We start from the raw sequence: 23,808 nt of genomic DNA, 5'->3' as shown, positions 1-23,808 counted from the left end.
GGCCAAAATACCGCATACTTCACAGGACAATGAATACTCCGAAAGGTCTTGCCTCAGGAGTGAGGAATTACCCCAAATCTAAAAGCAAGAATGGAAAGATTATAAGTAAATCTCTGTACTCCAAATAAAACTCAAGATAATAAGTGGAGGCAGGGAAGGTTTTTTTTTAAAAAAACACAAACCATACTTGTAGAGACACAAATTACATTGTCATAAGTAAAAACTATAGTGGATGGAAATAAACACAAATTAGAGATAACAAAGGAAAAATTCCTAAATTTGACACGATAAACTGCAAGAAACTTTCAAGCAGCTAATAGATAACTCCTCAAATAAAAAAGAAGAGACAGAAAAAAAATTAAAGAAAAAATGACCAAAAATATTCTAACCTTAACACAAACCATAATCCCACAGATTCAGGAAGGAAGTGTCTGGGACAGAAAAAAATGAAAATGTATCATTGTCATTTTTTATACCATCTAGGATGTATAATATTACTGAAGGTGAACTGTGATAAGTTAAAATTATATACTAAAAATCCTAAACACTAAGATAGCAAAACAGTTATCGCTAATAAACCCAAAAATATATATAAAATTGAATCATAAAAAACAGTTGACTAATCTAAAGGAAAGCAGGAAAAGAAGGGGAACAGAGAACAGTTGGGACTAATAGCAATCACACAGCTACCAGACAAACATAACTATATCAGTAATCACATTACAAATGACACTTGTCTAAGAACCTCAACTATAATACAGACTGTCAGGCTCAGCAAGAAAGCAAGACCCAACTACAGGCTGCCTATAAGAAATGCACTTTAAATGTAAAGACACAAATTGGTTGTAAGGATGGAAAAAGATACATGCTAACAGTTGGCAAAGGCAGCTGAGCAGGTGTGGCTGTATTAATACCAAAGTAGATTTCATAGCAAAAAAAAAAAAACATTCCAGCAATAAATAACAAAGGTCATGTCACAATAGTAAAAGGTTCAGTTAATCAACAAAACATAACAATCCTCAGTCTTTATGCCCCTAATAACAAACCAGCCTCACAATATATGAGACCAAAGTGGATAGAACTACAAAAAGTGACAGACAATTTCTAGGTAATCTGAGGTTTCAATACCCTTTACTCAATAAGTGATAGAACAAGAAGGCAGAAAATCAGCGAGAATAGACTTGAACAACACTATGCTTTCCAAGTACCCACGGAACACTTACCAAAATAGACCATATTTTAGGCCATACAACAACTCTCAATTAAAGGATTGAGTCAGAAGGATTTAACTCATACAAAGTATGTGCCCTGACCACAAATCAATCAGATTAAAGACCGATAACAAAAATAACTCTGGGAAATACACAAATATTTGGAAACTAAGTAACACACATCTAAATAACCCTGGGTCAAACAGGTAATGAAAATAGAAATAGAAAATAGAAAATATTCTGAACTGAATAAAAATTCATCAACCAGAATTTGTGGAATGCAGCTACAGCTGTACTTGAATACAAATTTTTAGCACTGCTGAATGTCTACATTAGAAGAGTCTTAAATCAATGACTTTGACTTCTACCTTAAGCAACTAGATAAAAGAAGAGTGACATAAACCCAAAGCAAGCAGAGGAAAGGAAATAATAAACATCTGCTGTGGTCTGAATGTTTGTCTTCCCCAAAATTTATATGCTGAAAGCCAATCACAGATGTGACGGTATTAGGAGGGGGGATTTTTACAGGTAGTTGGTCATGAGAGCGAAGCCCTAATGAATGGGATTAGTGCTTAGTGCTCTATACAACAGACCCCAGATCTCCTTCACCCCTTCTGCCAAGTGAGGGCACAGAGAAAAAGCATTCATGAACTAGGACGTGTTCCCTAACCATACACCAAACATGACAGCATCTGGATCTTGGACTTTGCTGAACCCACAACTGCGAGAAATCAACTTCTGTTGTTTGAACCAGTCTATGGTATTTTGTTATACTGTTGGTTCCAGAAGAAACAATAGAAAAAAATCAACAACACAAAACACCTTGAGGAGATCAATAAATGTGATAAAGCTCCATTTAGCCAGGCTGCTCAGAATAAAAGAAACAATACAAATTACTAATTTCAGAAATAAACAATGTGACATAATTATAGATTCTACAGATACTAAAAATATAACAAGATATTATAATTTCTATGTAAGTAAACAGGACAACTTAGATAAAATTAACAAATTCCTTTAAAAATGAAAATTAGCAAATCTCAATCAAGAAGCAATAGATAACGTGAATTGCCCTATATCTATAGAAGAAAGTTAAGTTATAGTTAAAAACCTTCCTAAAAGAAAACTCCAGACCCAGCTGGCTATGCTGGTGATTCTACAAAACATTTCTGGAAGAAATTAATACAATTATACATAAACTCTCCCAAAAGAAACAGAAAGAAGGAGTATATCTCAACTCAGTCTGTAATGTTAGCTTTACCCTGAACCAAAACCAGAAAATATTACCAACAAGAAAATTCCCTCATGAGCACGAATGTAAAAATTCAACCAATTTGTGATGCAACGAAGACATCCTCCCATAGTGGAGTGAATAAACTGTGGTTACACAGCCATACAGTGGAATATCACTCTACACATAAAGAAATGAGCAATCAATTCATGAAAATATGTGAAGGAACCTTAAATGCATATTACCAAGTGACATAAGCTCATCTGAAAAGGCTACTTACTGTATGGTTCCAACTATATGATCAGGAAGAGGCAAAACTATGGATAAAGTAAAAGGGTGCCTAAGGGTAAGAGACAGCAGGAAAAGATACATAGGCAGAGCACAGAGGATTTTTAGGGAAGTCAAAATAATTTATATAACATGGATACACATCATTGTACATTTGTCCAAATCCATACATGTAAAGTACCAAGAGTGAACCCCAATGCAAATTATGGGCTTGGGGTGATTGTGATGTGTCAATTTAGGCTCATCTATCATAGCAACTACCACTATGGTGAAGGATACTGGTAATGAAGGAGGCTAAACATGTATTGGATTGGGGGTATACAAAAAAATATCTGAACCTCCCTCTCAATTTTGACAGGAACATAAAACTGGTCTAAAAAATAAAAGTCTTTATAATAAATTCTAAATGAGACTTTAGTAAACTGTATCCGACAGTATAATGAAAAGGTAATACATCATAAACAAATGGGGTTTATTCCAGAAATGGAAGGTTGGCTTAACATTGAAACATCATCATTATTTACCACAAAACAAACTGAAAGAGAAGACCCATAGGATCATCCCAACAGACACAGGCATCTGATAAAATTTACTCCTGATGTCTCAAAGAAGAAACACTCTCAGTAACATAAGAATCCAAGGGAAGTTCTTCAGCATGATAAACAACGTCTATGATGAACCTACAGCTAACGTGCATCATAGTGAAAAACTGAATGCATTTCCCATAAGATGAGGAAGAACATGGGAATGTCTGCTTTCACTACTTGTTTGTAGCATTGTTCTGAAGATTCTAGTTAATGCAGTCAGGCAAGAAAAAGAAATAAGAGGCATCCAAGTTTAAAAAAAAGAAATAAAATTGTCTTTATACACAACCATGACCATAAAATAGGTATGGGTAAACCCCAACCTGTGGGCCAGCTTCTTGTCCGATAAGCTTTTATTGGAACACAGCTGTGTTCATTAATTTATGGATGATCTATGGCTGCTCTCATACTAAAATGGCAGAGTTTATCAGCTGCAAAAGAGACCCTTTTGCCACAAGCCTAAAATATTCACTATCCTTAGTAAGAGGGTAGTTTGAGAAAGAAAGGTTTAACAACCTTTGGTCTATGAAGAAAATCTGATCAAATCTACCAACAATGTGCCAGAACTAATAAGTGAGTTTAACAAGAATGAAGGATACAAATTCAATACAGAAAAATTAACTGTATTTCTATATGCTAGCGATAAACAATCAAATGAAAATTTTAAAACTATCATTTTCTATAGTTTTATAAAAGTGTATATTTGGATTAGCAATGCTCAACCTGTATAAAGAAAGTCAAATACATCTACACTAATTAAACTATCATTTACAACTTCATCAAAAATGAAATACAGATAAATCTGATAAAATATGAAAAGACCTATAAACTAAAAACTACAAAATACTACTGAGAAAATTAAATATTACCTCTATAAAAGCAGACATACACTTTATTGAGGAGTAGATTCGCTATTGTTAAGATGTCAATTCTCCCCAAATTAATCTATAAATATGACCCAATCCCAACTTAATTTCCAACAAGCGAGCAGTCTTTATTTTATTGATAAGCTGATTCTAAAGTTCATGTGAAAATGCAAAGGATCTAGCATAGTCAAAACAGAACAAAGAACAAAATTGGAGGATTCATTTCAAGAATTACTATAAATCAATAGTAACAAAAACAGTGTGCCACAGGTACAGGCTGAATATCCCTTATTCAAAATGCTTCAGACTAGAAGTTTTTCAGATTTTGGATTTTGGAATATTTGCATATACATGATGAAATATCTTGGGGATAGGACCCAAGTCTAAACACAAAATACATTTGTTTTTCATATTTACCTTGTACACAAAGACTGAAGGTAATTTTAAATAATACTTTTAATAATTTGGGGCATGAAACAATGTTTGTATACATGAGGTCGGATGTAGAATTTTTCCACTGTGCTGTCTATGTTGGCAATCAAAAAGTCTGGGGTTTTAGAGCATTTCAGATTTGGGATATTTAAATTAGCAATGCTCAACCTGTATAAAGAAAGTCAAATTCAGACAATCCCCAACTTAAGGTGGTTTGACTTACTGACTTTACAGTGGGTTTACTGAAGTATTAACTTGCTTTTGACTCAAACACTGGGTTTCCCACAATTTGGGGAGCATCTGCAAATTAATAAAATTCAACAGACAGTCCAGAAATAGATAACACATAAGCAACCAGCTTATGACTGACAAAGGCAGGATGGCAATGCAGTGGAGAAAGGATAGCCTTTTCAACATGCGGTGTTGGAACAATTGGCTGTCCATATCCAAAAAGTGAACTTGAATCCATACCTCACCTCACTCCATAGACAAAAGGAAACTCAAGATGGAGCACAGATTTAAATGGAAGATCCAAATCTATAAAATTTCTAGAACAAACACAGGAACAATCTTTGTGACCTTGTGCTAGGCAAACATTTTTACATATGACACAAAATGCAAAATCTGTAATTCAACAATTAAATTGGATTTCATTATGATTAAAATCTTCTGCTCTTCAAAAGATACTACAAAGCAAGTGAAAAGTCAACCCAAAAACTGGCAAAAATACCCTTGTAAAAAAGTAGCTAAAAGTAATAGTATCCAAATACATACAGAATTATTAAAATTCAACACGTAAGAAAACATCAACCTACTTTTTTATATGCAAAAGATGTGAAAAGACAGTTCAACAAAGAAGATGTACAGATGGCAAATAAACACATGGAAAGATGCTCAACATTTTAGTCATTAGGATCATGTACATTAAACCCATAAGAATATACATAATACACCCATCAGAATAACTAAAATTTAAAAAAATAAATACAGCAGTAGTGTGACAACATAGCAACTGGAATGGTCATTTACTGCTGATGAGAATAGAAAATAGTACAAATATTTTGGAAAACCATTTAGCAGCTTTTAAAAACAGGAATATGAAGGGCCATGAGGAGACGTTAGTGGGTGATGGATATATGTTGACTATCTCGATGATGGTAATAGTTTCACATGTGTATACATCTGTTAAAACTTATCAAATGGTACCTTTTACATGTGTGCACTGTATCGCATATCAATTTTACCACACTAAAGCTACTGATTGTAGGAGCAAACACCTAAGGCACTGGCTGTGGCACAGAGAAGGGTATGCAATGATGCAGTATAAAGCTCGAGGACTGAGATCCATATCTTATAGCAATAAATGGCAGCTGGGTTTTCAGCAAGCAGGTAACATGATCAGGTGTGATTTTTTACAACTATATAATTATGATTGCAGAACAGGCCATGGTTTTGGAAGGTGGAATAGTAGGAAAGACAGTTAGAGGGTTATCACAGTATTTCAGGTGGGAGGAAATGGTAACATGACCATGGGTAAATGGGTAATGGCATAGAAGAGAAGCAGAGTAAACAAACACACTGTGTGTATCATTCACACTGAGAAAAGTACAGTGAAATGATCATAGCTCTTTGGCTGAGAAGGTACAAGATACAGTTGCTTTCATTCTATTTTAACATAAGGCATATTTCTGAGATGAACATTCTTGTAACATATCAGTACTCTATGGTACAGTGTTAAGCAATGTGTGCATACATTGCTATAGGATTTTTAAAAAGCCTTATATTTATGCATTGGTCCTACCTTTACACTTCATTTCATGTTGATCAATGAGTAATATGACATTCTTACAATTACAGCAAAGCGAGTCACCGTCCTCTGAGACTGTTTGAGATGACTGAATTATGTCATCAAGGTCATCCCTAGAATGTATTTGGTTTTTCACCTACAAAATAAATAACACTGTTTCAAAATGTCCCCAAAATATTTATAGCATATACAAAATGTACAGAAGTGGGAATTGCCCATCTGTTTCTATGAGCACAAACACAGGTACCTGTTCCGTACTTTTTTTTTAAGCAATTTCCTTTATGTTGACTCTAGTTCAGAAGACCACATGGTCTATGGATAAATTAGTTTCCCAGTTCCTGTGCTATTTAGAAAACTGACAGAGAGACTTGGGTTAATTAAGGAACAAAGATTAAGAGAATGTCTTCCTGAGCTTGAGTTATTTTAATTGCAAAAACAATCTATTTATACATACAATTAGGTATTTAGATTACCCCATTTTACACAAGAGATTTTCATAAGTAAAAAAATTCAAATGGATCAAATAATTGGTGAAGAGAAAAACCAGAGTAGCAGCAAGTGACCCTCTAAGTCTTTTGGAAGTTGAACTTTCTCCAAAGCCAGGAACTCTACTTTACTTGTAATATGCTTACCTCATTCTTAAATCTTTGCATATATCACTTAATTCCACTTCTAGACATACTGCTGATGTTCTGTCACCATGTGGTGGAGAATAATGCACATTTTCTAATTCAAGTTTTATGCTTTCATATTTATTTGCACTACAGTTGTCACATAACGGCTTCTGGAACACATTCTGTATTGGTTTTGTACTGTTTGTAACAACAGAAACACCATCATCTTTTTTTTTTTTTTTAAATCACATGCTTCATTTCTTTGGAGCAGGTAAGCCACATACCTAAAAGGCTTTTTGAATCACTAAATTGAGGCATATGTCCGATGTTTAATTTCCAATTAGCGGTGTTTTGTTTTTTTGTCATTTGCCTCACAACCTATTTGTCTTCTTTTATTTCATCCATAACTACTTCTGGGTTTCTTGCTTTTGTACTTTCAGTATCATTATAAAAATTTTCCTTGTCTGAGTTAAAAACATGTTCAGTATCTGGTTTGTTGTCGTTTTCACAGTCTACTTTATTTGTATTTAAATAAAGCTCTGAAGGTGACTGGCAAGCATATTCTGGGGACCCAGAGTATGAATGAGAAAGAAAGGCATTTTTGAGACTGGGTTATTTTTGTTCAGGAAATATCTGGACTACTACAGAGACAGACATGCCAGATGCATCACTTTCCTGACAATCAGGTGAATCATTTGTCAAATTAGAAGGTTTTTACTTAAGTTTGTTCTTCCTGTAGAGTTATTATGTAGTTGCTCTTCCTCAATACAAGCAGTTTTGTAATTTTCACAAATTTCACCAAAACTCTGCTTTAACTTATTTGTGATGAATTTTAAAGGTTTTTTTTACCCTAGTTTGTCTTGTTTCATCCACATTCTCTCATACTTTTGTGCACAAGTAAGTCCTGCATATATAAAGAGGTCCTTTCTATCACAACACTTTTTCACTACTAGTTGTTGAGACAATTTTTGCACATGCAAAAGTGGAAGATAAATTTGCTAGTTTTCTTTCTTAGATGTCTTTTCTGTCAGAGTACATGTTTTAAAAATAACTTTATCTTTAAATAATCAAGTGTAAAAAGAGAAAAATTTTAAAATAATTAAAGTTTAATATCAAACTTCTTAATCTATGTTTACCTACTCCCAAATCACTGGATTGTAACTAAGAAGTGAAAAATAATTTGCATTAGCCTAAAATCAGTGAAAAACATAAACCATGAAACTTTAATTTGTCACTGTTTGTTTGGACTAAACTTGAATAATTCATTATGTGTTAAATTTCCCAAAAATGAATTAGGAGATGACTTGTGGTACTATAAAGGCACTGTCACTTTAAAAGATTTTATCACTATATGAACAGTGTACACTTGAGTGCTTTTTCCTAATATTACTAACTAATGATTAGGCAAACTTTAAATTATTAGGAGCCAAAATCACCACCAGTCAGTAAGAAAAGCAAATTCTTTGTCTGGCAGCCAAGACTGCTGAATAGGAACAGCTCCAGTCTACAGCTCCCAGCGTGAGCGACGCAGAAGATGGGTGGTTTCTGCATTTCCATCTGAGGTACCAGGTTCATCTCACTAAAGAGTGCCAGACAGTGGGTGCTGGACAGTGGGTGCAGTGCACCGTGTGTGACCCAAAGGAGGGTGAGGCATTGCCTCACTCAGGAAGTGGAAGGGGTCAGGGAGTTCCCTTTCCTAGTCAAAGAAAGGGGTGACAGACAGCACCTGGAAAATTGGGTTACTCCCACCCTACTACTGCACTTTTCCGACGGGCTTAAAAAACGGCACACCAGGAAATTATATCCTGCACCTGGCTCAGAGGGTCCTGCGCCCATGGAGTCTAACTGATTGCTAGCACAGCAGTCTGAGATCAAACTGCAAGGCGGCAGTGAGGCTGGGGGAGGGGCACCTGCCATTGCCCAGGCTTGCTTAGGTAAACAAAGCAGCTTGAACTGGGTGGAGCCCACCACAGCTCAAGGAGGCCTGCCTGCCTCTGTAGGCTCCACCTCTGGGGGCAGGGCACAGAGAAACAAAAAGACAGCAGTAACCTCTGCAGACTTAAATGTCCCTGTATGATAGCTTTGAAGACAGCAGTGGTTCTCCCAGCATGCAGCTGGAGATCTGAGAATGGGCAGACTGCCTCCTCAAGTGAGACCCTGACCACTGACCCCCGAGCAGCCTAACTGGGAGGCACCCCCAGGTAGGGGCAGACTGACACCTCACACAGCCGGGTACTCCTCTGAGACAAAACTCCCAGAGGAACGATCACACAGCAGCATTCGCGGTTCATGAAAATCTGCTGTTCTGCAGCCACCACTGCTGATACCCAGGCAGACAGGGTCTGGAGTGGACCTCTAGCAAACTCCAACAGACCTGCAGCTGAGGGTCCTGTCTGGTAGAAGGAAAACTAACAAACAGAAAGGACATCCACATCAAAAACCCATCTGTACATCACCATCATCAAAGACCAAAAGTAGATAAAACCTCAAAGATGGGGAAAAAACAGAGCAGAAAAACTGGAAACTCTAAAAAGCAGAGCGCCTCTCCTCTTCCAAAGGAATGCAGTTCCTCACCAGCAACAGAACAAAGCTGGACAGAGAATGACTTTGACGAGTTGAGAGAAGAAGGCTTCAGACGATCAAACTACTCTGAGCTACAGGAGGAAATTCAAACCAAAGGCAAAGAAGTTAAAAACTTTGAAAAAAAATTTAGACGAATGTATACCTAGAATAACCAATACAGAGAAGTGCTTAAAGGAGCTGATGAAGCTGAAAGCCGAGGCTCGAGAACTACGTGAAGAGTGCAGAAGCCTCAGGAGCCGATGCAATCAACTGGAAGAAAGGGTATCAGTGATGGAAGATGAAATGAATGAAATGAAACGAGAAGGGAAGTTGAGAGAAAAAAGAATGAAAAGAAACAAACAAAGCCTCCAAGAAATATGGGACTAAGTGAAAAGACCAAATCTACATCTGATTGGTGTACCTGAAAGTCACGGGGAGAATGGAACCAAGGTGGAAAACACACTGCAGGATATTATCCAGGAGAACATCCCCAATCTAGCAAGGCAGGCCAACATTCAGATTCAAGAAATACAGACAACGCCACAAAGATACCCCTTGAGAAGAGCAACTCCAAGACACATAATTGTCAGATTCACCAAAGTTGAAATGAAGGAAAAAATGTTAAGGGCAGCCAGAGAGAAAGGTCAGGTTGCCCACAAAGGGAAGCCCATCAGACTAACAGTGGATCTCTCGGCAGAAACTCTACAAGCCGGAAGAGAGTGGGGGCCAATATTCAACATTCTTAAAGAAAAGAATTTTCAACCCAGAATTTCATATCCTGCCAAACTAAGCTTCATAAGTGAAGGAGAAATAAAATACTTCACAGACAAGCAAATGATGAGAGATTTTGTCACCACCAGGCTTGCCCTAAAAGAGCTCCTGAAGGAAGCACTAAACATGGAAAGGAACAACCGGTACCAGCCACTGCAAAATCATGCCAAAATATAAAGACCATCGAGACTAGGAAGAAACTGCATTAACTAATTAGCAAAATAACTAGCTAACATCATAATGCCAGGATCAATTTCAGACATAACAATATTAACTTTAAATGTAAATGGACTAAATGCTCCAATTAAAAGACACAGACTGGCAAATTGGATAAAGAGTCAAGATCCATCAGTGTGCTGTATTCAGGAAACCCATCTCACGTGCAGAGACACACATAGACTCAAAATAAAAGGATGGAGGAAGATCTACCAAGCAAATGGAAAACAAAAAAAGGCAGGGGTTGCAATCCTAGTCTCTGATAAAACAGACTTTAAACCAACAAAGATCGAAAGAGACAAAGAAGGCCATTACATAATGGTAAAGAGATCAATTCAACAAGAAGAGCTAACTATCCTAAATATATATGCACCCAATACAGGAGCACCCAGATTCATAAAGCAAGTCCTGAGTGACCTACAAAGAGACTTAGACTCCCACACAATAATAATGGGAGACTTTAACATCCCACTGTCAACATTGGACAGATCAATGAGACAGAAAGTTAATAAGGAGACCCAGGAATTGAACTCAGCTCTGCACCAAGTGGACCTAATAGACATCTACAGAACTCTCCACCCCAAATCAACAGAATATACATTTTTTTCAGCACCACACCACACCTATTCCAAAATTGACCACATACTTGGAAGTAAAGCTCTCCTCAGCAAATGTAAAAGAAGAGAAAGTATAACAAAGTGTCTGTCAGACCACAGTGCAATCAAACTAGAACTCAGGATTAAGAAACTCACTCAAAACCGCTCAACTACATGGAAACTGAACAACCTGCTCCTGAATGACTACTGGGTACATAACAAAATGAAGGCAGAAATAAAGATGTTCTTTGAAACCAATGAGAACAAAGACACAACATACCAGAATCTCTGGGACACATTCAAAGCAGTGTGTAGAGGGAAATTTATAGCACTAAATGCCCACAAGAGAAAGCAGGAAAGATCCAAAATTGACACCCTAACATCACAATTAAAAGAACTAGAAAAGCAAGAGCAAACACATTCAAAAGCTAGCAGAAGGCAAGAAATAACTAAAATCAGAACAGAACTGAAGGAAATAGAGACACAAAAAACCCTTCAAAAAATTAATGAATCCAGGAGCCGGTTTTTTGAAAGGATCAACAAAATTGATAGACAGCTAGCAAGACTAAAAAAGAAGAAAAGAGAGAAGAATCAAATAGATGCAATACAAAATGATAAAGGGGATATCACCACCGATCCCACAGAAATACAAACTACCATCAGAGAATACTACAAACACCTCTACACAAATAAACTAGAAAATCTAGAAGAAATGCATAAATTCCTGGACACATACACACTCCCAAGACTAAACCAGGAAGAAGTTGAATCTCTGAATAGACCAATAACAGGATCTGAAATTGTGGCAATAATCAATAGCTTACCAACCAAAAAGAGTCCAGGACCAGATGGATTCACAGCCGAATTCTACCAGAGGTACAAGGAGGAAGTGGTACCCTTCCTTCTGAAACTATTCCAATCAATAGAAAAAGAGGGAACCCTCCCTAACTCATTTTATGAGGCCAGCATCATCCTGATACCAAAGCCGGGCAGAGACACAACCAAAAAAGAGAATTTTAGACCAGTATCCTTAATGAACATTGATGCAAAAATCCTCGATAAAATATGGGCAAACCAAATCCAGCAGCACATCAAAAAGCTTATCCACCATGATCAAGTGGGCTTCATCCCTGGGATGCAAGGCTGGTTCAATATACGCAAATAAATAAATGTAATCCAGCTTATAAACAGAACCAAAGACAAAAACCACATGATTATCTCAATAGATGCAGAAAAGGCCTTTGACAAAATTCAACAACGCTTCATGCTAAAAACTCTCAATAAATTAGGTATTGATGGGACGTATTTCAAAATAATAAGAGCTATCTATGACAAACCCACAGCCAATATCATACTGAATGGGCAAAAACTGGAAGCATTCCCTTTGAAAACTGGCACAAGAGGGCACAAGACAGGGATGCCCTCTCTCACCACTCCTATTCAACATAGTGTTGGAAGTTCTGGTTAGGGCCATTAGGCAGGAGAAGGAAATAAAGGGTATTCAATTAGGAAAAGAGGAAGTCAAATTGTCCCTGTTTGCAGACGACATGATTGTATATCTAGAAAACCCCATTGTCTCAGCCCAAAATCTCCTTAAGCTGATCAGCAACTTCAGCAAAGTCTCAGGATACAAAATCAATGTAAAAAATCATAAGCATTCTTATACACCAATAACAGACAAACAGAGAGCCAAATCATGAGTGAATTCCCATTCACAATTGCTTCAAAGAGAATAAAATACCTAGGAATCCAACTTACAAGCGATGTGAAGGACCTCTTCAAGGAGAACTACAAATCACTGCTCAAGGAAATAAAAGAGGATACAAACAAATGGAAGAACATTCCATGCTCATGGGTAGGAAGAATCAGTATGGTTAAAATGGCCATACTGCCCAAGGTAATTTATAGATTCAATGCCATCACCATCAAGCTCCCAAAGACTTTCTTCACTGAATTGGAAAAAACTACTTTAAAGTTCATATGGAACCAAAAAAGAGCCCGCATCACTAAGTCAATCCTTAGCCAAAAGAACAAGGCTGGAGGCATCACGCTACCTGACTTCAAACTATACTACAAGGCTACAGTAACCAAAACAGCATGGTACTGGTACCAAAACAGAGATATAGACCAATGGAACAGAACAGAGCCATCAGAAATAACGCCGCATATCTACAACTATCTGATCTTTGACAACCCTGAGAAAAACAAGCAACGGGGAAAGGATTCCCTATTTAATAAATGGTGCTGGGAAAACTGGCTAGCCATATGTAGAAAGCTGCAACTGGATCCCTTCCTTACACCTTATACAAAAATTAATTCAAGATGGATTAAAGGCTTAAACGTTAGACCTAAAACCATAAAAACCCTAGAAGAAAACCTAGGCATTACCATTCAGGACATAGGCATGGGCAAGGACTTCATGTCTAAAACACCAAAAGCAATGGCAACAAAAGCCAAAATTGACAGATGGGATCTAATTAAACTGAAGAGATTTTGCACAGCAAAAGAAACTACCATCAGAGTGAACAGGCAACCTACAACATGGGAGAAAATTTTCGCAACCTACTCATCTGACAAAGGGCTAATATCCAGAATCTACAATGAACCCAAACAAATTTACAAGAAAAAAACAAACAACCCCATCAAAAAGTGGGCAAAGGACATGAACAGACACTTCTCAAAAGAAGACATTTATGCAGCCAAAAAACACATGAAAAAATGCTCACCATCACTGGCCATCAGAGAAATGCAAATCAAAACCACAATGAGATACCATCTCACACCAGTTAGGATGGCAATCATTAAAAAATCTGGAAACAACAGGTGCTGGAGAGGATGTGGAGAAATAGGAACACTTTTACACTGTTGGTGGGACTGTAAACTAGTTCAACCATTGTGGAAGTCAGTGTGGCGATTCCTCAGGGATCTAGAACTAGAAATACCATTTGACCCTGCCATCCCATTACTGGGTATATACCCAAAGGACTATAAATCATGCTGCTATAAAGACACATGCACACATATGTTTTTGCGGCACTATTCACAATAGCAAAGACTTGGAACCAACCCAAATGTCCAACAATGATAGTCTGGATTAAGAAAATATGGCACATAGACACCATGGAATACTATGCAGCCATAAAAAATGATGAGTTCATGTCCTTTGTAGGGACATGGATGAAATTGGAAATCATCATTCTCAGTAAACTATCGCAAGGACAAAAAACCAAACACTGCATGTTCTCACTCATAGGTGGGAATTGAACAATGAGAACAGGTGGACACAGGAAGGGGAACATCACACTCTGGGGACTGTTGTGGGGTTGGGGGAGGGGGGAGGGATAGCATTAGGAGATATACCTAATGCTAAATGACGAGTTAATGGGTGCAGCACACCAGCATGGCACGTGTATACATATGTAACTAACCTGCACATTGTGCAAGTGTTCCCTAAAACTTAAAGTATAATAATAATAAAATAAAAAAAGAAAAGCAAATTCTTACATTTTAATGCAAATTACACATTGTAATATGATTGACAGTGTTATATATTTATATAGATTATAGGCTTAAGTTCTAAGGTCTACTAATGACAGTGGATTTAATAAATTTAACAATATTTAGAGATTTTCTATATTGAAATACATTAGGCAGTTATTGTTTGTACACTAATACCAAAGGTGCCATTCTGCAAGGTATAATTCTCTTGATAGCCAGTTGGGTTGATTTTATAACGCATTCTCTCCCTGAACATAGAAACTGAAGTCAGAGATCAAAAAGGAAAATAAATTTTTAACCTTGGTATTAGTGACTGGCAATAAAAAAACTGCAAAGTTTGAACCACTAGCAATAATTACTCCTTTAATCTGAATCCAGTACGGTGGTCATCACTGTTAAATTGTTCATAATTTCTATTGCTTAAAATTGTAATTCAATATTTGATGTTACCTTCTTTATTATAATAGGAAGTTATAAAAATAGAAGTGCAAACAATATCAGGAACTTTTTAACTCAGTTCCAAGAGTAAAGATAAGATACAAGTTGCTATAGATTCCAACACTATTTTAAGTTTTATAACTAGTTAAATGTTTTTAAAATGAAATATTAAATTATAATCAACTGATACTAAAAGGCTAATCCAAAGGTAAATTCATTTCAAATATGCTGTATTACCAAAGCTAGGAAAACAAGATTAAACCAGAAATTTGATTTTAAATTTTTACATACCTGTGGCTGGTTATTTTCATATTCTTCAAGCCTCTTTTGCTCTCCCTCTGATGCCATTTCTAAGTCTTGTTCTGCTAAAAAAATTATATATTTAGTTAAAATGAGCTACACAGAACAGTTAGATAAAAGCCATGGTCAGCGGTGGCTCACGCCTGTAATCCCAGCACTTTGGGAGGCCGAGGCAGGTGGATCACGAGGTCAGGAGATCGAGACCATCCTGGCTAACAAGGTGAAACCTCGTCTCTACTAAAAAATACAAAAAATTAGCTGGGCGTGGTGGCGGGCGCCTGTAGTCCCAGCTAGTCGGGAGGCTGGTGCAGGAGAATGGCGTGAGCCCGGGAAGTGGAGCTTGCAGTGAGCTGAAGATCTCACCACTGCACCTCCAGCCTGGGTGGCAGAGCGAGACTGTGTCTCAAAAAAAAAAAAACAAAAAAACAAAAAAACAAAACGATAGTCTTTCTAAAACCAGAAAATAAAAGTGTTTCAACGAAGCTTAATCTTTAGTATAATATTTACTTCTTTAAGAAAGGCTTTTAATCCTCCAAAACTTCAGCAAACCACTTGGGGAGGCACTAGATGTCACCAGGTTCAAGCCATGCAAACGTGGTCAAAGATTCACTCACAAATTCACCCACCCAACATCAATGAACGAAACCATCAGAAATAAAACAAAATGTAAAAATCCAATAGAAACAGAAAAAGTAACAGCACACTGTTCTTTACTTCACAATAGTACCTTTAGAACAGCACTTTGAGCCTGCTGTTCATTATTAATCATTTCCAAAATGACTGCTACTGTTTACACTTTCATCAATGTACAGTCTCTTCTTTATATCTAAAATATTTTCCTCAACTATTCTGACAGATTTCTTTCATAATTTAAGACTCAGACAGCTATGTGAAGTCTTCCTTGATTCTGGCTATCTTTCCTCAGATAAACGGTTTTATTTAATACAGGTTTTATAACATATGTAGTTAAGGTTTCTAAAGTGAGATTATGTCTCAACTAACTATAACTGAAATAGAAGAGTGTATCTATTCCAATGTAAACATGTTGACTGATAATGAGAAAAATGATCCTTATAAAGAATAGCAAATCATGATCCTGAGAGAGTAAGTATCAAAGCTGATGGGAGGATGCTATGGCCTATCTTTAATGCAATACTTCAGATTCAATTACACCATTATACTACAAGCATTTATCATGTCCAACTGTTTTTCCTATTATTTAGGAAGTACAAAATTGTGAGGACACTTCCAATAAATATACAATTTATTTCTCATCAGAGAAACTGTTTAAAATTAATCAGCTTAGATAGACAGTTGTAGAATAAAAATTAATAAAACTATTCATTTTTTTCATTCCTAGGTAGGCTACTGCTATGTCTACATTGCTTGTATCCTGCAGTTTGGCCCTGTCAAGAACTTTCTGAATCCACTCATGCAAGAAGATATGTAAACCACATCAAAAATAGTGTATAGGCTGGGTGTGGTGGCTCACGCCTGTAATCACAGCACTTTGGGAGGCTGAAGCAAGTGGATCACAAGGTCAGGAGGTCAAGACCAGCCTGACTAACATGGTGAAACCCCATCTCTACTCAAAATACAAAAATTAGCTGGGCATGGTGTCATGTGCCTGTAATCTCAGCTACTCAGGGGGCTGAGGCAGGAGAATCGCTTTAACCCGGGAGGTGGAGGTTGCAGTGAGCCGAGATTGTGCCATTACACTCCAGGCTGGGAGACAGAGCAAGACTCTGTCTCAAAAAAAAAAAAAAAAAAAAGTGTATAATAAGCTTTCAATATGTAAATAATTGTCAAAAATGAAAAAATTAAATTTCCACAGACTTATTAATAACATTTTATACTTCAAAATCAGTGCAACGTTCACTGATTATTTTGGTTTTGTTATTCAAAGAATGAATGCTATAACTTTTTGTTTCTAAAATTAGTTTGATTTGATATACCATGCTAATCTCTAAGGCACTTTCATGGAACTGTGATCTTATTAAAAAAATAGGTTTCTTAGTAAAATCAGTCAAAGTTTCTTAGTTCAAATAAATTTCATTTGATTAACTAATATCAACACTTCTATATAGCTCTCATAAATTATTCCCACCACAAATGAAGAGGAAAGCCTCTTAATTTAGCAGTAGTACCTTACATGTATAATTTCTATTTCCTAAATTTGTGTTCCTTTCCCTCTGGCTAGAAACATGCTCAGAAATAGTAGCAAAATGACACTGTTATGTTTCAAACTGCTATCAGAAGGCAAACAGGTATATGGAAAGGTGCTCGACATCACTGATCATCACAGAAATGCAAATCAAAGCTACAATGAGGTATCGTCTCACCTCAGTTAAAATGGCTTTTATCCAAATGGCAGGCATTAAGAAATGCTGGTGAGGATGTGGAGAAAGCAGAACCCTCCTACACCATTGGTGGCATTGTGAATTAGTACAGTCACCATGGAGAACACTATAGAGTCCTCAAAAAATTAAAAATACAGCTACCCACATGATCCAGCAATCCCATTGCTAGGTAACGATTCAAAAGCAAGAAAATCTCTTCACAGAATTGGAAAAAACTACTTTAAAGTTCATATGGAACCAAAAAAGAGCCCGCATCGCCAAGTCAATCCTAAGCCAAAAGAACAAAGCTGGAGGCATCACACTACCTGACTTCAAACTATACTACAAGGCTACAGTAACCAAAACAGCCTGGTACTGGTACCAAAACAGAAATATAGATCAATGGAACAGAACAGAGCCCTCAGAAATAATGCCACATATCTATAACTATCTGATCTTTGACAAACCTGAGAAAAACAAGCAATGGGGAAAGGATTCCCTATTTAATAAATGGTGCTGGGAAAACTGGCTAGCCATATGTAGAAAGCTGAAACTGGATCCCTTCCTTACACCTTATACAAAAATCAATTCAAGATGGATTAAAGATTTAAATGTTAGACCTAAAACCATAAAAACCCTAGAAGAAAACCTAGGCATTACCATTCAGGACATAGGCGTGGGCAAGGACTTCATGTCCAAAACACCAAAAGCAATGGCAACAAAAGCCAAAATTGACAAATGGGATCTAATTAAACTAAAGAGCTTCTGCACAGCAAAAGAAACTACCATCCGAGTGAACAGGCAACCTACAACATGGGAGAAAATTTTCACAACCTACTCATCTGACAAAGGGCTAATATCCAGAATCTACAATGAACCCAAACAAATTTACAAGAAAAAAACAAACAACCCCATCAAAAAGTGGGTGAAGGACATGAACAGACACTTCTCAAAAGAAGACATTTATGCAGCCAAAAAACACATGAAGAAATGCTCATCATCACTGGCCATCAGAGAAATGCAAATCAAAACCACTATGAGATATCATCTCACACCAGTTAGAATGGCAATCATTAAAAAGTCAGGAAACAACAGGTGCTGGAGAGGATGTGGAGAAATAGGAACACTTTTACACTGTTGGTGGGACTGTAAACTAGTTCAACCATTGTGGAAGTCAGTGTGGCGATTCCTCAGGGATCTAGAACTAGAAATACCATTTGACCCAGCCATCCCATTACTGGGTATATACCCAAAGGACTATAAATCATGCTGCTATAAAGACACATGCACACGTATGTTTATTGCGGCACTATTCACAATAGCAAAGACTTGGAACCAACCCAAATGTCCAACAATGATAGACTGGATTAAGAAAATGTGGCACATATATGCCATGGAATACTATGCAGCCATAAAAAATGATGAGTTCATGTCCTTTGTAGGGACATGGATGAAATTGGAAATCATCATTCTCAGTAAACTATCGCAAGAACAAAAAACCAAACACTGCATATTCTCACTCATAGGTGGGAATTGAACAATGAGATCACATGGACACAGGAAGGGGAATATCACACTCTGGGGACTGTGGTGGGGTCGGGGGAGGGGGGAGGGATAGCATTGGGAGATATACCTAATGCTAGATGACACGTTAGTGGGTGCAGCGCACCAGCATGGCACATGTATACATATATAGCTAACCTGCACAATGTGCACATGTACCCTAAAACTTAGAGTATAATAAAAAAAAAAAAAATTAAAAAAAAAAAAGAAAATTAAAAATTAAAAAAAAAAAAAAAAAAGCAAGAAAATCAGTATTATAAAAGAGAAATCTGTCCTGACATGTTTATTGCAGCACTTTTCACAATAGCCATAATTTGGAATCAACCTAAATGTACATCAACAGAAAAATGGGTTCTAAAAATGTGATACATATACGGCTCAGCCATGTGAAAGAATAAGATCCTCTCATTCGCAATGACATGGATGGAACAGGAGGACATTATGTCAAGTAAAATAATCCAGGCAAAGAAAGGAAGGCTTCACATGTTGTCAATCCTTTGTGGGTGTGAGAAATTTAAAAAATAGAGCTCATGGAGATGAAGAGAAAAATCACCATTACCACAGTCTAGGAAGGGTGTGGGGGTGGTAGGAAATGAGGATGCTTAATAAGTACAAACTATAGTTAGAAACAATGAATAAAATGTAGCATTTTATAGCACAAAAACATGACTACAGTCAGCAATAACTTGTCCATTTTAGCATTACTGAGGAAGTACAAATGAAAAGATAGCACAAAGAAATGGTTAATGCTTGAGGTGATGGATAACCCATTAACCATGATGTCATTATTACACATTGTATGCCTGTATCAAACTATCTCATCTACTCCATAAACATAAACACCTACAATTTACTCATTAAAATTAAAAACAAAAAAATAAAACACACACACACACACACACACACACACACACACAGTGTGCTAATCAGAACATCCGATTGGCTTAATATAATAAGTGTAACAAAATTGACCAGAACCAATAAAAGTTAAAACAAAATATGTTACAAAATAAAACATTTCATTAGCTAAAAGCCATAATTTTAATTGACTTTTAAAGCAAAACAAATATTTTACAGTATCAAAATTGATCTCTTTAATTCGCTAAAAACTATTGAAATTCCAAATTGGAAACTTCAGAGTATCAAAATGTAAAAGTAGAAACATCTGAATAAAACCTTATATTTTTAGGCCAGGCATGGTGGTTCACACCTGTAATCCCAGCACTTTGGGAGGGCGAGGCGGGAGGATCACCTGAGGTCGAGAGCTCAAGACCAGCCTGACCAACATGGAGAAAGCCTGTCTCTACTAAAAATACAAAATTAGCCGGGCATGGTGGGGCATACCTGTAATCCCAGCTACTCGGGAGGCTGAGGCAAGAGAATTGCTTGAACCAGGAAGGTGGAGGTTGTCGTGAGTTACAATTGAGCCATTGCACTCCACCCTGGGCAACAAGAGCAAAGCTCTGTCTCCAAAAACAAAAAACAAAACAAAACAAAAAACAAAACAAAACAAAAAAACCTTATGTTTTAAAAATATATTTTCTTTATGCATGTAAATCTCATTTTTGAAAATATAAATAAAAATGATAACAGCTGCATTATTTAGATGAAATCCTGAAATAAAATATAAAAAGTGAAATAATTGAGAATAGAAAGACTATGAGCATTACAAACAGATTAATGTACTTCTTTCCAGAGTTAAATCTACAATGCAAAGTTTACCTGGTGTGGATGTTTGTACATCCTTCATTTTGGTGGCTGTATTCAGAACAGAATTTTTATTTTCAATTGTAGCCTGAATGGGTTTTAAAACAAAGTGATTAGCACATGATGTATATTGGTATAGGTTATGCAGTTAATAATTAAAAATATAAATGTAAGAGTAATTACCTTCAAGGTGGGCAGATTCTCAGGATACTCTAACAAGCAAGAGAAATATATAATCAATCATATGTAAATATGGTAAGGCCAACCATACATTCGTGGAGTGTTAGCATCAAACTGAATACTCTTGCCTGTATTAGTGTAGGGTTTCATATTTTTCTAGTTTGTTTCTTTGGGACAGTAATATGATAGAAATGCAATGAAGAAAATAGGAATACAAGCTTCAAAACATACAGTTACAAGTTAAAAAGTGAGATTATGCACCACATCTATTGCTAAAAAAAAGTGTTAATATCAATGTGGGTATACTGATTAACAAGGAGAAATGTGATCTAAAATCAGAGGAGCAAGTCATAACCCTAGAAATAAGTGTAAAAGCTAGTGCTAACTGCGACTGCATGACTTTCATACAAGACATCAGAAGGCTTTATACCAGTATAACATAAACATTCATCATGCTCTATAGCTTGTCTGATAACTGAGAAGGTACACAATTACAATGACACTTCAGTTGAACATACACTTCACGTGTCTTCAGTGTAAGTGTCCTGAATTGATCTGCTTGGATATATGTTTGGTGAATCCTAGTAGTTAATATTCATTATTTATCATGCCCATGTGGTGTAATAATCTGCCTACATTTCTTATATCCTCTAGTTTAGCCTTCAGAAACTTTCTTCATCCACTAATGGCAAGAAGGTATAATATATAAACCCCATCAAAAAGTATAATAAATTATACATATTTATACAAAATGGAATTACTCCAGGCATTAGATATTAATAAACTTATACATTTGGAAATCAGTCTAATATTCATTGAAAATAATCACTTTAGGATTCAATTAATGAATTCAACATTATTTTTGTCTGTAAAATTAGTCTGCTCTGGAATATCACTTTACTATAAAGAATTTTCATTAAATAGCTATTTTAACAAGACAGCCAGCACTTTGGAAAAAAACTAAATATTCATATTAAACTTCAACTCATTTGAATAACTAATAAAAAATATATGTGTGATGTCTGATACTAAGAAACATGAATAATGAGGCACTGTGGTTTATCCCAATTCTAGCACTCCTTCCTGATTCCAGTAGTCATTGGAGCAGCCAGAAATCAGATGATCCGGTATGCAAATATTCAAAATGCATCTGAAGTGAGTTCACTCAGGCTTCCTCAGCAGAAACCCCAAAATTACCTAAATAACTTCTTCCTTCCCCTCTTTCTTGCCTTGCAATCCCTCTTTCTTGATGAAAATAATTACTACATCAGTGGTCACCTTGCTCCTCATTCTCCAGTGTTTATGGGTTATTATGACAACTTCCTCCCTCTGGTTTAAGTAGTACCATCTGACATCTATAATTTCTATTACTTTTTTCTCTTTCTCCTTCCCCTTTCCATAGAAACATGCTCTGAAATAAGAGCAAAATTATGCTGTCCCCGGATCCTCTTATCTCTTATGTCTTGAACTGTTTTCCAATGGTTCTTCTACACAATTTCCATGTAGGGAAGTCTATAAGCTTGTTACTAAGATCATGGCCAAGGACCAGCAGCATCAACAACACCTGACAACTCAGTAGAAATGCACAATCTCAGGCCTGCTGAATCAGAAAGTGCATTTTCAATGAGCACCCTGCTGATCTATTCAGGGGTGGGATGTTGTCTTCTATCTTGAGTGCACATGACATTAAATGTATATTGCTAAATTACCTGTTCCAGATTTCCAACCGCCTGTTATTCTTGTGGCAATATTCAAAAGAGAAACTTTCTTTTTAAATATAACCTGAATGGAAAGAGAAACAAAATAGTCAATACATAATATATATTTCATAGGCTATGCAATAAATAATTCAAAATATAAATGAAAGAGTAACTACCTTCTGGGCCGATTGTTTCTGAGGAGACACTGAAAAGTAAAAGAAATATATAATTCATCATATGTAAATATGACAAAGTCGTCCATACATTCATGCAGTGTTAGCATCAAGCTGTATCCTTCTGCCTGTATTAGGGTAGGATTTGATGTTTCCTACTTTGTGTCTGGGGATTGGAACATGACAGAAATACACTGAATAAAGTAATACAGCCTTCATGAAAAATATACTTACAATTTCAAGCATGGTATGATTTGTCATATGTCTAAAACTAAAATAAAACCGTGTCAATATCAACGTGGATATGCTGAGTGATGAGGACAAATGTGATCTAAAATCAGAGGATCAACTCATACAATTGAGAATCAATGTCAAAGTAGGTGGTACTTGATCCCACAGGTCTTTCATGCAAGAAATCAAAAGGATTTACACCATTATACTACAGACATTCATCATGCTCTTTAACTTGCCCCATAACTGAGAAGGTACACAATTACAATGACACTTCAGTTGAATGTACACTTCACGTCTCTTCAGTGGAAGTGTCCTAAATTGATCACCTTGGATATCTGTTTGCTGAAACTGAGTAGATAATATTTATTATTCCTCACACCCACGTGGTGTAATAATTTGCCTAAGTTTCTTGTATCCACTCGTTTAGCCTTCCAAAATTTCTTCATCCATTCATGGCACCAAAGGATAATATATTAGCCTCAATAAAAATATCATCAA

The 23,808-nt window shown here is 36.4% G+C and overlaps 1 protein-coding gene across 50 annotated transcripts in view; it reads right to left on the bottom strand.

Annotated features, from left to right (window-relative positions):
- The window catches only part of ANKRD36 (ankyrin repeat domain 36), a 151,369-nt gene that overhangs the window by 24,237 nt on the left and 103,324 nt on the right, over positions 1 to 23,808 (bottom strand). For 41 of the 50 annotated variants that reach the window (XR_007074204.1, XM_017004009.2, NM_001354587.1 and 38 more), the window contains 6 exons: positions 23,080 to 23,108; positions 22,913 to 22,985; positions 21,207 to 21,235; positions 21,039 to 21,111; positions 15,406 to 15,479; positions 6,414 to 6,555 (listed from right to left, as the gene is read on the bottom strand). Coding sequence is in view for 49 of the 50 variants with exons in the window: in XM_017004009.2 (XP_016859498.1) it covers positions 6,414 to 6,555; positions 15,406 to 15,479; positions 21,039 to 21,111; positions 21,207 to 21,235; positions 22,913 to 22,985; positions 23,080 to 23,108 (420 nt within the window). In the remaining variant the exon portion in view is untranslated. The remainder of the gene's footprint in view (positions 1 to 6,413; positions 6,556 to 15,405; positions 15,480 to 21,038; positions 21,112 to 21,206; positions 21,236 to 22,912; positions 22,986 to 23,079; positions 23,109 to 23,808) is intronic. The other 9 variants (XM_017004010.2, XM_047444232.1, XM_047444235.1 and 6 more) reach the window with 1 other exon arrangement.

Source organism: Homo sapiens, chromosome 2 (assembly GCF_000001405.40).
Source record: "Homo sapiens chromosome 2, GRCh38.p14 Primary Assembly".
Lineage (NCBI taxonomy): Eukaryota > Metazoa > Chordata > Mammalia > Primates > Hominidae > Homo > Homo sapiens.
The sequence above is the reverse complement of the archived record's forward strand: the minus strand, read 5'-3'. Positions and strand labels throughout refer to the sequence as shown.